Below are 16117 nucleotides of genomic sequence, written 5' to 3' on the forward strand. Positions count from 1 at the left end.
TACGTCTTACTATGTAGGTTGTCAGCTAACCATACTCCCATCCCTGGGGTGACCCAAGAACCAGGGAATCTCTGGGGCTTAGGAACCAGGTACTGAAGACATTGAAGATTTCTTTCTTTAGCAAGAGGTCTGAAATCAGTGTGGGATACATTATGCATTCTAGAGGGAGACAAAGGGTATGTGAAATTTCTGACTGGTGTCTTTCTCTTAGTGTTCTAATATTTTCATCTCACTGAGATGAGGCATCCCCAAGTGTGAGAGCCTTATGAAGCTCCTAAAACAGGTGGATAAAGAAAGCAGCCTGAATGGTGTGCGCACAGGCAGAGCAGTAGCTGCAATGTGGATCACAGAGAGAGGGCTTGCGGGCATGCCCTGCACCTCACGTCTTTAGCATGTCAGCATACTGTAGCTGTCAGATCTGAGTTCTTATTTCAATTCTGCCACTTCTCAGTTTTGTAACTTTGGGCAAATTATTGCTCTTAGCCTCAGTTTTCCTACCTGTAAAATGGGCATGATATGTTGAGAACATTACCTGTAGTCACGTATATGAAGCATCTGGCATATACCCTGCACATGGCTTAAGCCCCCTTTCTATTAACCCCAGCTCTGAGGATTTGTTATATCTTGTTCAGTGAAAATGGATAGCGTCTAAGTTTGAAGAAAGTTAAGGAAAGTTAAGGAAGTCTAACTTCCTCCTTTATAAATGAGGAATCTGAGGCCAGAGAAGTTAAGCCATTTATCCAAAGTCATGGCCCTGAGGTCTTGACTTTTTATCCAGTGATTGTTTCATGGTTTGATGCTTCTGTGGAGACTGAAGTTGCTAATACATACATTTCAGTGAGCAAAACAATTGTACAAGGTAAGAAAATACCACTCAAAAGAATTTTTTTTCCACGAGCAGTTACCACTATGTGCATGTGTAGTGCTGCTGGTGGTGGTGGGTTGTCAGTGAATTAATTACTGAAGATGCCACAGAATCATGGGTCCCTGGGGACAAAGGTGGATACAGGAATTCCCTGGGCATTCTCCAGGGCTTGACCACATCTATGCTTAATTTGGAGTATTTTGTGAAGACTTTGTCTTGAAGAATATTTACTAGGTAGTTACAAATTGGAGGAGAGCTTTCTGAAGACAAAGCTAGCTGGGTGCCATTAGACATCACAGGACCTCAAAGCAATGTTGACCAAAATGTGTTCCCAGATCCTGGGTAATGAAAAAAGCTTCCATGGTCATCACAGTGACCTTTTATTGTATATTGCCTTGTGAAGTTCATTTCCCAAAATGATTTGAGGACCATCTTTTTCTTGTAATTATCATTCTTTGTAGCTAGTGTTCCACCATTAATTTTTAAAGAAACTATTAGCTTAGGGACATAGATACATGCAGACTATCAGGCAACACTTATGCATCAGTGTGTATTCTATGTAGTCAGAAATGTATTGGCCATTTTATTACAAGAAATCATGCAATACAAAAAGTGCAAGCCAGTGGGACTTCTCTGAGGAAGGACTCACTGGAAGATGAAGCTCCTGGTACTGCACAGATGTGTGCTAACAGTTGAATATGAGTAATGCTCTTTAAAGCAACCAGTATGCTCCACTACTTGTTACCAGTGGTTCTTTCATATTGTCCTAGTCCATTTTGAGTTGCTATAGGAGAATACCTAAGACTGAGTAATTTATAAATAACAGAGATTTATTTCTTACAGTTTTGGAGGTGGGGAAGTCCAAGGTCGAGGGGTTCACATGTGGTGAGGGCCTTTTTGCTGTGTCATCCCATGGCAGGAGGGTAAGAGAGCGTATGTGTGTGTGTGCGTGCGTGTGTGTGTGTGTGTGTGTGTGTGTGAGAGAGAGAGAGAGAGAAAGAAGGGGACCAAAGTCATTCCTTTATCAAGAACCCACTTCTGGGAGACATAACAGCATTAATTCATTCATGAGGGCAGAGCCTTCATGACTTAACCATCTCCTAAAGATCCTACCTCTCAACACTGGTGCATTAAGAATTAATTTTTCAACACATGGACTTTGGGGACTCTTTCAGCCTATAGCACATATTAATCTAGTTGAGTCAGGAAATGGGATGTTTCAGCTAATTAAAACATCCCTACTCACTAAGAAACCATGATGAACACGGATGCTTATACGCGCTTTTTTGTTTGTTTTTTCTTTTTCTTTTTCTTTTTTTTTTGATGGGGTCTGGCTCTGTCACTCAGGCTGGAGTGCAGTGGCACGATCTCGGCTCACTGCAACCTCCGCCTCCCGGGTTCAAGCAATTCTCCTGCCTCAGACTCCTAAGTAGCTGGGATTACAGGTGTGAGCCACTGCGCCTGGCCTATACCTTTTTAAGAATCCCATTCCTGATTTAGTCTTTCTTAGATGAGTCTGAAAGTCCTCTGGGAGCTAGACATGACTCCAAGGTCACAATTGTGGACATCCATTCTCACTGGGTGGCCGATAGAGGGAGAGAATGCACATGGATGGGCAGACCTGACCAAGGATGAGCTCTGAAGTTGTTCTTTGGGACAAGGTCTAGGATGCTGTTTTTTTCATCCCTATGGGGATGCAACTCCCACTTGAACATGCTTTCTACATACTATGCCACTGGGAAGTTGTCAGTACTTGCATTGCTATTTCCATTTTAGATGAGGAATCTGAAATGAAGTGCCTTGCTCAAGGCTATGGAGTGGATAAGGGAGTTACCTGGGACTACCAGGGAGTTCTCTTGACTCTGATTCCAGGTTTCATTCTCATGCTCTGTGATGCCTTTCATTAATGTAGAGGGCTGGGAGCACCTTGGCTACTCGGACACCATGGAGTAGCCAGACAACAGGTACAATCTGCCTCTTTAAGTCTGTGGATCTGTTTTAGAACCTCATAGCCTTCACTTGGGTAGAACAAGTCCGTAGGTAAAGTCTCAATAATATTCACAGTAAAAGTTTAAACAATTAATATTTTAAATTACAATAATACATGCTTATTGTTGACATTTTAGTAAATACATATATATGCATTTAAAGCACACAATTCCACCAACCAAATTATTTACATACTTTAATGCTATGTTCTTCCAGTTTTTCTTTAAGTATAAAATACTGGTATCTTTATGATTGCGTTAATTATTTTGTATCCTGAAGTTTCACTTGTTTATTATGATCTTGTTTATATAATTAAATTTTCTTAAAAATATTTTTAATGGTTTTGTAGTATTGGCGTAACATAACCTCTTTAAATCGATCCCTAATTCTGAATATTTAGATTTTATATATATATATATATATATATATATATATATATATATATTTTTTTTTTTTTTTTTTTTTTTTTTTTTTGCATTTTTCGGTAGAGACAAATTCTTACTTTATTGTCCAGGCTGGTCTCAAACTCCTGGGCTCAAGTGATCCTTCTGCCTTTGCCTCCCAAAATCCTCAATTATAGGCATGAGTCACTGTAGCCGGCCTATTTCTAATTTTTGTTAGTATAGATTACACTTTTTTTGTTGTTGTTGTTGAGATGGAGTCTTGCTCTGTTGCCCAGGCTGGAGTGCAGTGGCACCATTTCGGCTCACCACAACCTCCGCCTCCTGGGTTCAAGCGAGTCTCCTGCCTCAGTCTCCTGAGTAGCTGGGATTACAGGTGTGTGCCACCATGCCTAGCTAATTTTTGTATTTTTAGTAGAGACAGGGTTTCACTATGTTGGCCAGGCTGGTCTCAAACTCCTGACCTTGTGATCTGTCCACCTCAGCCTCCCAAAGTGCTGGGATTACAGGCGTGAGCCACTGCGCCTGGCCCTGGATTACACTTTTAAAACAATATATTTACAGATATTTTTATACAACTGTATAGGAACCTTTATATAATTTTCCTAATATTTGCTTTGAAGAGATTCCTTAACTTTTTTTTTTTTGAGTTAAAAGAAATGAACATTTCGAAGATTCTTTATACATCTCATCTTCACAACTTGTTTTAAACCTCTTCCATAGCTTCAAGCTATGGTCCTGCTTTCTGGTTCTATTCTTCATCTTACTCCCTGGATGCGATGCCTTCATGTTCTTGGCCTCCTTTCCTGACACTATCTACGCACCTGTTTGTTATTCTGGGCTATAAATTTCCCAACCAAATCTGGCTTAGCTCTAGGTCCTGCTGGAATTATCTTCACTCCTCTTGTGGGAAATTGGATGGGAAGGAGAAATTGGACTCCTTCGTGAAAATTCCCTCCACATATTCATCCAGTAAAAATGTATGAAATGCCCAGTGCCTGGCACTTCTGGAATTCTCTCCAAAGATGCCATCCTGTTCCCACACTGTCATGGGAACAATAAAGGGAACCGTGTGGCCTCCTGCCATCTGCGTGTCTCCATCCCAGGGCGAATGCTTGATTAGTGGGGTGGTACTGCAGGCCCGGATCCTCAGGAGTCATCACTTTTCTTCTTGCCACAACTCTTCTTTTGCTCAACAGTGCCTTAATGGCTCAGTCACTTAAGAGTGCAGTCACTTAATAGCCCTTTCTATCAATTTTCCCATCTGCAGAATGGGGACTGTGATTCTGGGCTGACCGGGTGTTGTGAGCATTAATGAATGTTTTGAGGCATGTTGAGATCTGTAGATAAACAAACCTCAAGAAGTACAAAGTGCTAATGAGCCTGTTGCTGAGCAGCTCGCTTTGAGAGACTGCTTTCTTTCCCACAGAGGAGGAATCAGTTCCTAATCCCTGGGCACAGATGTTTTCCAGCTGCTTTTGGATGAACCAAAACAGTGGATTCCAAAGGGAATTTTCCCTGGACACATGCAGCTCTCAGGTTAATGGAAACCTCAGAATTAAGTCTAAAGCAACACCAGAGTAACTCCCAAGTTAGTTTGCCCGGTGACAGCACCACTTGGTAGAGTTTCTTGGCACTTTCTGCAACAGTGTTTGCCTGAGTGTGGAATGTATACTACTGATGACACACAGATGCCTTTGATGGTGCGTGGATGAACTTTTAATAACTTTTCACAGTTATGCATTTTTTGGTGGTTATTTTCTATCTGTAGCAAGTGATACTATTTATTTATTTATTTATTTAATTATTTGTCACAACAAGAATAACTGACATTTGGGCTGGGTGTGGTGGCTCACGCCTGTAATCCCAGCACTTTGGGAGGCCGAGGCAGATGGATCATGAGGTCAAGAGATCGAGACCATCCTGGCCAACACGGTGAAACACTATCTCTACTAAAAATACAACAATTAGCTGGGCATGGTGGTGCACACCTGCAGTCCCAGCTATTTGGGAGGCTGAGGCAGGAGAATTGCTTGAACTCAGTAGGTGGAGGTTGCAGTGAGCCGAGATCGCGCCACTGCTCTCCAGCGTGGGTGACAGAATGAGACTCCATCTCAAAAAAAAAAAAAAAGAATATCTCACATTTACTGAGGGCTTACTTTGTCCTGGGTACTGTTGTAAGTGCTTTACAGCAAAGCATTTAATCATCACAACAGCCTTATCTTTAGATATTCTTATTATCCCCTTTGTACACATGGGGATGTTGACACACAGAAACTTTAAGGAGTCTTACAAACTGTCTAAATTTACATAGCTGGCAAACAGTGGAGATGGGGTTTCTATCAGACAATTTTGGCTCCAGGGCCCATGTTCCTGTTAAACAGCCTGTCATATTTCCTTTCAATATATTTGCATTTGTGGTACTGGTATAAAGGATATTTAAAAACAGATTATTTAAAGTTACAAAAGCATGTTGATTGGAATAAAAATGATGTATAAAATCTGAGTTAAAAATAATGAGATGGTTTGAAGATATGGTGGATATTGTGATGTTGGAATCAATGACTGAAGGGCAGTGCGCCCTAGCGGGTGGCCTGGTGACCACCGGGGCCACTATTCTCTAGAAGCTGGTTAAAAATCCAGATCTATGGGCTCTCTGTGGGTGCAGTCCAAGGATCTGTATTTATAAACAAAGGCCTCAGGGCATTTCCATATCATGAAGCTGTGACACACCTGTTTCCCAACCCCCAATCCCTATCTGGGCATAAGACAAACAACAACAACGACAACTGCTGATTGGTTGGGTGTTCCACTGGGTTATCACTCTTTTGGCCTCATGTCAGGGAAAGGCAGAAGAGAAGGGACAGAGAGCTACTCTTTAGATTGCTAGACACAGGCCTTATCCTAATCCTCACATTGAGGAAGGTGTGCTTAGGCCCATTTTACAGACAAGGAAACTGAAGGTGAAAGAGGGTAAGTGACTTGGCAAGTGGTGGGGCCAAGAGTCAGACCTGGGCATGTAGCGTTCATCAGCCGAGCACTTTCCATTGTACCAGCCCTCTGAGGCCAGGCATTCAGAGTTAGCGCATCCCCAGACAAGCTGAAAGGGGGCCCAAGTCAGGGCAGTGAGCTTGCATTTGGAGAACTGCGCTAACTCTTAGTGCTGGAATTTAAAGCATGGTGTGATCTCGGCTCACTGTAACCTCCCAGGTTCAAGTGATTCTCCTGCCTCAGCCTCTGGAGTAGTTGGGATTACAGGTACCCGCTACCATGCCCGGCTAATTTTTGTATTTTTAGTAGAGACAGAGTTTCACTATGTTGGCCAGGCTGGTCTCGAACTCCTGACCTCGGATCATCTGCCCACCTTGTCCTCCCAAAGTGCTGGGATTACAGGCGTGAGCCACCGTGCCTGGCCCATATTCTTTACCACTGTGTTCTACTGCATCCTAATAATAAAAATATTCTCACTTACTATGTGCTGGGTGTTACACAAATCACACCCGTATCTTTTTTCAGTTGTCTCACCTTAGACACTGGGCTCTCCAATACTCAGTAAAATGTGGGTGCCTCATAGGAACTCAAGACCTGTTTTCTAGCAATAAAGGACCTATTGAATATCTACTATATGAATAGCCATGCTTATAATGGCAACACCAATGATAATGATGATTAAATTAGTCAGGGTTGTTGGTGGTCTGTTAGTCGGAGCGAGGAACTCTAGATCCTTTTACAAATACCATTGAACCTCACAGCCTTAATGATTAAAGATTTATTTCATGGTTCAATGATAGTCGTGTGCCCATTTAGGGTGTCTCTTCTCCAAGTGGTGATATGGGGATCTAGCTCTTTCCATTTTGTGACATTGTCTTCTTAACCAAGTGGCCTCCAAAGTCACTATGAAAGGGGAAGAGAATATGGTGATAGCTCAGTGTGTCTTATGATCACCCCATTGGTCAGGATGACACTACCCTGGCTGCAAGAAAGGAGAAGAAATGCGGTCTTGTGTGTCTGGGCAGAAGAGGAAATGAGGCTGGGAAGCATCTAGCTAGCTTTTGCCACTTTGCAAGCTGCGGAAATGGACTCTGCCTACATTTCAAATTCACTGGAAGTGTACTGGGTAGCTTACAGAATTGGCAGCAGGCTGGAGCACCAGCTAGAAATCCAGGGTGGCCGGGCAGCGGCAAAGTCGAGGCCAGCCTCAAAGTCAGCATCAGAAGTACTGCTAGAATACTTCCACTGGCTCTGCGGATCACACCTCTGACTCTAGCTGGTGCTGGACTCTAGACATCATCCCTACAGTGAAAAATGTCTACACCCTTCCTGCATCTTTGAGCCAGCCTCAGAGTTCCGGACAGACCATCGCTCAGGCCCTCACCAGTGTGTTAGATTGAAGGGAGAGATCGAGTATTATCACTCTCCATAGGCTTCCAAAGGGGAAGGTGCTGTGGGATACCCTAATACTAGTGGAATTCTCCTCAAATAGGCAGGGCTAATTGTTGGGAAGAAAAAAGAGTGAGAGCAGAAAAGAGAGAGGCAGCATGATATCTACTATATTTCAAGCTTGTTAAAAATTCACAAAGTGCTTTTTTATTGTTTAAATTTGCACGATGGAATTGAGGGCAGAATGCCGGTGGGAAGTGGTCAAGCCAGTCCCCAGAGTGCATCGGGGACTTCATGTGTCAGTTTCCTGGTTTGTTTCTTGGTTCATTTGTTCATGGAGCATATATTGTATTCACTGTGTGCTGGGCTCTGTGCTGAATAGGACCAGGTTCTTATCCTAAAGGAGGTCTTAGACGAGTGACATTCAAACATGGTTTCCAAGAGGTAGCAGGGCAGGACTGAGGACAGCAGATGGCCCAAGTCTGGGAACTGTACCAGGGCAGGAACTGACAGATTATGTGTTTGACTTGAGTCTCAGGGAGGTGAAGTGACCTGCTCAAGTCTCATAACTAGTCAATCACTGACCAAGGACTCCAGCGGATGTCTTCAAGTTCATGTTCAGAGGCCTCCTTCCACTCAGAGCAGTTCTATGCAAAGCAGAGGGGAGCACAGTAGCTTAGGGCAATGGGGAGATCATAGGCTTAGGGGTCCTGCATTTTCTAGCTGGAAGCTAGGTGACATTGGCCTAGAGTCACCTAACATCTGAGCCTTAATCTTTCATCTATAAAATATGAATAATAACATGTACTTCCCAGTGTCACTGGGAACAAGTCTAAACAATGAAAGTGCCCTTTATAATGCCAGACGCAGTAGGTGCTCGATGAAAGGTAGCTACATAGAAAGAAGAATAAGATAGGGTCACTGTCTTCAAGGAACTTGTCCTTTTCCTGAAAGGGGCTGGCGAGTGAAATAAGATCAGAGAGTGAAATTTACCTGCGTGTGAGAGAGAAGAAATAAATACAAATCCCTAGTAGCTAAGCTATAAATGCAACTGGAATTCAGAGAAGAAAGAATGCTCTGTGGGCAGGGGTCAAAGGCTCTGTGGCAGGACCAGTGAGGCGGCCAGGATGGGGGCTTTGGTTCTATAACCAGGCTCCGTGGGTTCATATCTGAATTCCATCTATCTTATTACCTCTGTGTTCTTGGGTGAGGGTAAGTTATTTAATTTCTTTAAGCCTCTGTCTCTTCTGCTTAAAATGAAGATAATTGTAGCACCTGCTCATTGGGTAATTCTGAGACGTTAATGAGAAAATCCTCCTAAGGGGCTCAGTACAGTGCCTGGCGCTTAATAATAGTGCCTTGAATATTATTCCTGTGGAACCAAGCCTTGACCAATGAATATATAAGGCCTTCCGCATCGTAGTGGTTGCAAGGATTAAATGAGAGAATTTATGTTAGGCACCCAGCACAGTGTCTGGTGCACAGCAGGCATTGCTTATGCCCCCTTGCCCTCCAGGGAAGGACAATGCCTTATGTTTCTTCTTATCTCCCATGGCCCTCAGCACAGTATCTGGCTTGAGTTAGTTTTACCACGAAGTATTCAGCTGGGAGCTTGACAACAAGCTAAAAGTTGAAAGTAGGGCCATTTGAAGAAATAACACGAGTGAAAACAAAGCAGTGGAAATAGTCCAAATTATCAAGGAGTTTAAGAAGAACTTCTGGGACCATGGGTGGAGCTGGAAGCTGTTATCCTTAGGAAACTAATGCAGGAACAGGAAACCAAATACTGCATGTTCTCACTTATAAGTGGGAGCTAAATGATGAGAACACATGGACACATAGAGGGGAACAGTGCACTCTGGGGCATATTGAAGGGTGGGAGTTGGGAGAAGATCAGGAAAAATAACTAATGGGTACTGGGCTTAATACCTGGGTGATGAAATAATCTGTACAACAAACCCCCATGACACAAGTTTACCTGTGTAACAAACCTGTGCTTGTACCCCTGAACTTAAAAGTTGGAAAAAAAACAACAACAAAAACAGACCTTTCATTCTTTGTAAGGTCGAGGAAGTCCTATTTGTTTCCCCCTGGTGGCCAACAAAAGCAAACACAGCTCAGTTTTTGGGAAAGGAGTCAGCGCTTAAGCAACAGGAACCGTCACAGGGCTCACCTGACCATCCTGGGCCACGCTTCGGCTGTGATTCAGCCCTGCAGAACGATTCATGACCCGTCTCAACTGCAGTGACTTGCTCCTGGTGACATTTCCCAAGGAATAAACAGTGTCGTAAGAACCAGCCTAGAAACTAAAGAAAGAGCTAGTTATTTCATCTCTTTTCTCTTTATCCAGCCGAATACTTTGAAACTCTGCCCTTTGACCTCCTCCTTCAGGGACAGTATCAAGAATTCTCCTCTTTCCTGTGTCATTTTGGACAATTAATCATATAACAGTAATGACAATATTTTGGGTGTTTATTCTCTGGCAGACACTGTTCTAAGCTCTTTACAAACTTAACTCATTCAATCTCCCAGACAACCATACAGGTATGTACTATTTTGACACCAATTTTTCAGAGGAAGAAACTGAGGCCCAGTGAGAATACGTGACTTGCCCCAGGTGACGTAGCTAGTATGTGGCAGAGCCAGGTTTCAAACCCAAGCAACCCGGCTCCAGATACCATGTTCTTAACTCTGTGAATCAGCCTCCCAGGCCACGTGCTCTAGTGACAAATCTTGGGCCATTGCCTAGTATTGCTGGAATTTTGTGTGGCATAAATCACTCGTCTTACACTTTCATAAAAATGTGGCATAAATCACTCTTCTTACGCAAATCATGGAGAGAAATGACTTTTTATTTTTTTATTTTTATTTTTTTAGAGACAGGGTCTTATCCTGTTGCCCAGGCTGGAGTGCCGTGGTGCAATAATAGCTCACTGACTCACTGGACCTCAAACTCCTGGCCACAAGTGATCCTCCTGCCTCAGCCTCCCAAAGTGCTGGGATAACAGGCATGAGCCACTGGGATCAGCCAGAAATGGCTTTTTAAGAGCACATTGGTGGGTTCCACCCTCAGAGATTCTGATCCAGCTGGTCTGGGGTGGAGCCCAGGAATCTGCATTGTTCACAATGGTGCTCTCTATGGTAGTGGAAAGAGCATAGGTTTTGGGATGCCATCTTCTGTCACTGGTTCTTGGATCTTTGATAAATCACTTTTAGCTCCCCCAATGTCTGTACAATTGGTGTCATGATTCTGACCTTATCGTAGTCATGGTAAGGCTGAAATGAAATGATTTATGTTAGTGTCTGGTAGATGATTTATTTTAGATGCTCCTGTCCTTGAGCTGGGGGGCTGACAGTGATCATCTTTAGTCATATATGACTTGTGAAATGTGAAATGGGACTTTTTGGGTCAGGAACAGATACCGTCTCCTCCTAGCAGCCACAACACAGTGACAAGAGCATCACTGACTTGGCCTGAGCTTTGGCATGATTACTTCAAACCTCTGTTTCTCATCTAAGCAGTGTGGAAACCTGTGCTTCCATGAAGGGTTGTGGGGAAAGCCCTCATGTCAGGTTACACATGAGGAAGTGAGGTTTCATTCTGTCAGGCATTGTTTTTCTTGAACCGTCCACATAGGGGCTCAGCTGAGTTCCAGCCGGGCCAGCGGCTGAGTGTGTGCAGGTCCGAGAAGACGTGAATTGTGTCCTGGATTTCTGGTAGGCATGCTCCCAGGACGGCAGGGCATGGTGGGGAATGGCTCTCAGAAGCCCCAAAGCCTTGTCCAAATACTCTGTGGCAGGGGATGCTACAGTTCTGTGTAAAAGACAAGGCCAAGTCACCCGGGGAGGCTCTGTGATGATCCCATTTGACCCTTTGGGGACACGTAGCTGGGGGTTGAGATTCTCTCTTCACTGAGCAGAACAGGCAAGGAGGTAGCGGGCCTGCCTTTTGTGTTGTCTCCGAAAATGGAATCAATGCTGCTCTCCTCTCTTTTCCTTGCCCCACATCTCTCTCTTCCTGCTTTGAGCACTTTGATATAGTCTCACTTTCTATCTATAAAGCCTGTCTGTGTCCTTACTCACTGCAATGACCTGAAATGCAGAAGCTGCTTCTGTGAAAAAAACCACTGGGGAGCCCACAGCAGTTCCACGTCATCCTCTGAGTCACCCTGCAAGTGAAACCTGGGAAGGCTCATGGGGTTCACCTGGGCTGGCCACTCCCTCCGGGGCTACTCTGTGGTCTGTGGCACTGTGGCATCTGCTCTGGGTTTCCAACCAACATTTTCTTGCCTCTGCGCTCTGTGCTCTGGCTGGGATGTTTTCTCCTCTCTTCTCTTTCTGGATAACTCCCATTTTTCCATTAAGACCAAGCTTAAATGTCTTTCCATCTTTATTTTTTTTTTTTGACACAGAGTTTCACTCTTGTTGCCCAGTCTGGAGTGCAATGGCATGATCTTGGCTCACTGCAACCTCTGCTTCCTGGGTTCAAGCAATTCTCCTGCCTCAGCCTCCTGAGTAGCTGGGATTACAGGCACATGGGCACATGCCACCACACCTGGATAATTTTTGTATTTTTTAGTAGAGATGGTTGGTTTAGTAGACATGGTTCACCATGTTGGTCAGGCTGGTCTCGAACTCCTGACCTCCTGACCTCAGGTGATCCACCTGCTTAGCCTCCCAAAATGCTGAGATTACAGGCGTTAGCCACCGTGTCTGGTCAAGACCAAGCTTAAATGCTCCTCTAAGAAATCTTTCCTGATTTTCTGCTTGGTTCCTTACCAGAATGCCAGTGTCTTTCCACTGTCACATTTCCATAGCACCTGAAATGTGTTCTTTAGTGCATGGATGCCATGGTGTTGCCATTATGTGTCTCCCACCAGACTGTAAGCCACTTGAGAGCAGGACCGTATCTCAGCTCTCACGCAGCCTGAGCATCTGGCACATAGTAGGTGCTTTGGGAATATATTTTCCATGAATTATTCATGATATGGCTTGACTTCTGTCATGGATCCTACTCTGCACATAGGTTTCATGCCCACTGGGTTGCTGGTCCTTGGATTCCAGCTGAGGGAAGATTCTGTTCTGTAATAACCTTAAAGGAAGCTTGCACAGTCTCTCCTATAATGTTGTTTTCACTGGGAGTTGATGTTGTCCATCCCATTCTATTGAATAATATCCCTTGTTAGAAAGGGCATTTTGGCATGCCATTAGTAATGATAGCAAACCATATTTATGTGGGTTAGAATTAGGTCCAGTTGTGAGTGATAGAAAACTCAAAATGACAGTGGCTTAAATAGCTATTTATTTATCTCTCATGTAAATATCCACAGTTAATCTAATCCTGCCATGAAGGTTCTGCTCCACAAAGTTCTCAGGGACCTGCACCATTAGACCTTCTACTCCACTCTGCCCAGGGCTTAGCCACTGTACTCATGACCCAAGATAGAGCTTCAGGAGTGACATTCACTTTCCAAACACAGATGGAGGAAGGTGGGAAGAAGGGGGCCCAATGAGTGGGCCAGCTGTCTGTCAAAAAGTTTCCCAGAAGCAAAGGGAATCTTCCACATGATACTCTGTTTACATCCCATTGGCAGAACTTAAGTCATATGACCACTCCTGATCTGCAAGAAAGTCTGGGAAATGTAGTCTTTATTCTGAACAGCCATGTTTCTAGCTGTGGAGGAAGGGGAATATGAAATTGAAGAATAATAGCAGTCTTTGCTACAATATTTGCTTAGCACTTTACAAGTCCTTTTTTATATTCGTTATCTGGGCTGATACTCATATGGAAGACAGGGTTAGTAGCTTGTTTAAGGACACACAGGGTAAAAGCAGAGTCAGAAGAACAGAGAGGTGTTTTGATGCTGCACCCTCACTGCTATACTGTGCTACTTCTCACACTGAGCTGAAATTGGTTTCTTTCCAACTACCCATCGGTCCCAGTTGTGTCAGCTTGAGAGAAATGAAAGGAGTACAGTCTTTCTGCTGGGTAGTAAGTGACTCAGACACAAGGCCGTGGTGCATGCTGAATATCCTGCCCTCCACTGCCCCCAGCAGGTTGCCTGGATCGCAAGACTACTCAATAAATAGTGAAATTGAAAAATCATTGTGGAATCTCAATTCTTTTTGTCTAATAATGATAGCAGTGTATATTCCTATAGCATGTTACAGTAAGTGTTTACATCTCTGGTTTCCATTAGCTTCAGGGTTTATGGAGAAACTTATGGTTCATAAAGCCATACTGTTGAAGGTCTTTCCTTGGCAAACGCAAAGGGAATACTGAATGCAGCACTTTCCCGTGTGATTCCCCTTTAATCATCACTGAACATTTCAGAGTGTCTCAGTGCATTTAGTGTTACTACCAAGACATACCTGAGGCTGGGTAACATATAAAGAAAAGAGGTTTATGTAGCTCATGATTCTGCTGGCTGGAAGGTTCAAGATTGGGCATCTTGTGAGGGCCTCAGGCTGCTTCCCCTTATGGTGGGAGGTGAATAGGAGTCTGTGTATGCAGAGATCACATGGTGACAGAGGAAGTGATGGGGGGAAGGGAGGTGCCCGGCTCTTTTTAACAACTAGCCACTGCAGGAATGAGAACTCACTCATCCTCGAGGGAGGGCATTAATCTATTCATGAGGCATCTGCTCTCATGACCCAAACACCTCTCCTTAGGCCACATCTTCAACATTGGGGATCAAATTTTAGCATGAGGTTTGGTGGGACAGACATCCAAACTATAGTATAGAGCTTGGGATTATTATCCTCATTTTAGAGATGAGACATCTGAAATTTATTATTTATTTATTATTATTGTTATTTTTTAAGACAGAGTCTCACTCTGTCACCCAGGCTGGAGTGCAGTGGCATGATCTTAGCTCACTGCAGCGTCCACCTCCTGGGTTCAAGTGATTCTCCTGCCTCAGCCTCCCGAGTAGCTGGGATTACAGGCACATGCCACCACACCCAGTTAATTTTTGTATTTTTAGTAGAGACAGAGTTTCGTCATGTTGGCCAGGCTGGTCTTGAACTCCTGACCTTAGATAATCCACCTGCCTTGGCCTCCCAAAGTGCTAGGATTAGAAGTGTGAGTCACCGTGCCCAGTCAAAAACTGAAGTTTAAAGAGGCTTAATAACTTTCTCTAAAGGGTGGAGTGCCCAACCCTACCTGCCTGACTCTGAATGGCTCTGGTCTTGGGATTCCTCTGTTCTTAATCACTCCTTCGACATCAATGAATTATCAATGATGCGTACAAAACGCTGTTTGGGAGACACCAAGAAGGATTAGCAATGTGATGCCTACTATTTTTGGAGTTGCAGGAAAAGCTAATGGCAGGACCAGCCAGTACTAGGGAGTCAGAAGAGGGTGGCTGCCTGTAGCCAGGAGTCGAGTAGTTCCTCTCCCCAGTGAAGAAGGGGGAGGTGTGGAAGGTGCAAAAGTTAATACAGGAAGAATAGAGGAAGGGCCCTGTGAACTTTCAATACCCCTGTACCTTATTTTGCTGAGCTTATTATATAATACCAGAGCAGAATAGAAGGTAGACCCACGGGAATTCAAATCTTGGCTGTGCCACCCACTTCCTGGGCAAGTCACTTCCTCTCTCTGTGTCCATTTCCAAATCTTTGAAATTCAGTTAGAAACATCACTTTAAAAACAGGGTTGTTGTGAAGATTTTATGAGATAATGTATAAAATAAGTTCTTACCAAGTATCAGCTATGATATTTATGATATTTTAGAGTTATTAATTATACTGTGAGGATTAAGGAACTTGGCAGAGGAATACAGTAGGTGCTTAAATGGTATCCTAAAATATTATTTAAAAATAAATGACAGTAATGGGAATACCGCAATTACTTTTGCACCAACGTAATAATAGTAGGATATTTAAAGTTGAGATCACAGGAATCAGTGCAGATATGTCTCATTTTAACCAGCAGGTGGCGCTCATGTCGTGTTTAAATTCTGAAAAACCTTAAAAAGTACATACATATTCATATTTTCTATTTTTACCAGAAAAAGCAAGGAAAAAAATCTCAAAAAAGGCCATTGTCTGTGCCATGGGGAAATAATTAAGGTATGTAAAACAGCTGATACAGTAATTAATAAGAGCAGTGACTGGAGAGTCTCAAAAAGCTTTGCTGCAAAACTGCGGGAGTGTAATTGACCTCACTGACGTAGGAAAAAAATCACAAGCTCACACACAGCAGGGAAAGACTGTGCTTTCACATCAGTAGATTTAGAACCAAACCAGGGGATCCTGGAGCTGCGCTTCTGAGCCACACCTGGGAAGACTTTGAAAAGGTAAGTTCTAGGAAGGCAGGGTCTCCAGTGACTGTCTTTACCCATATTCCCAGGGCCTAAGGCATTAATCGTAGTAGATGCTCAATAAGCATGTGTCAGGTGAATGAATGAACACCATAGCACATGCAGAGTTTTGTAATCCAGGCCTCAGCTTCCTCTCTGTAATCCTGGATAGACTTGGA

The 16117-nt window shown here is 43.6% G+C and overlaps 1 annotated feature.

Annotated features, from left to right (window-relative positions):
- Positions 11950-12099: an enhancer, noted in NCBI's record as "active region_27928". NCBI's record gives its function as "activates an Ori minimal core promoter by ATAC-STARR-seq in GM12878 lymphoblastoid cells {active_cell/tissue: GM12878}" and the evidence as "EXISTENCE:reporter gene assay evidence [ECO:0000049][PMID:35858748]".

This window comes from Homo sapiens, chromosome 8, assembly GCF_000001405.40.
Source record: "Homo sapiens chromosome 8, GRCh38.p14 Primary Assembly".
In the NCBI taxonomy this organism is placed as follows: domain Eukaryota; kingdom Metazoa; phylum Chordata; class Mammalia; order Primates; family Hominidae; genus Homo; species Homo sapiens.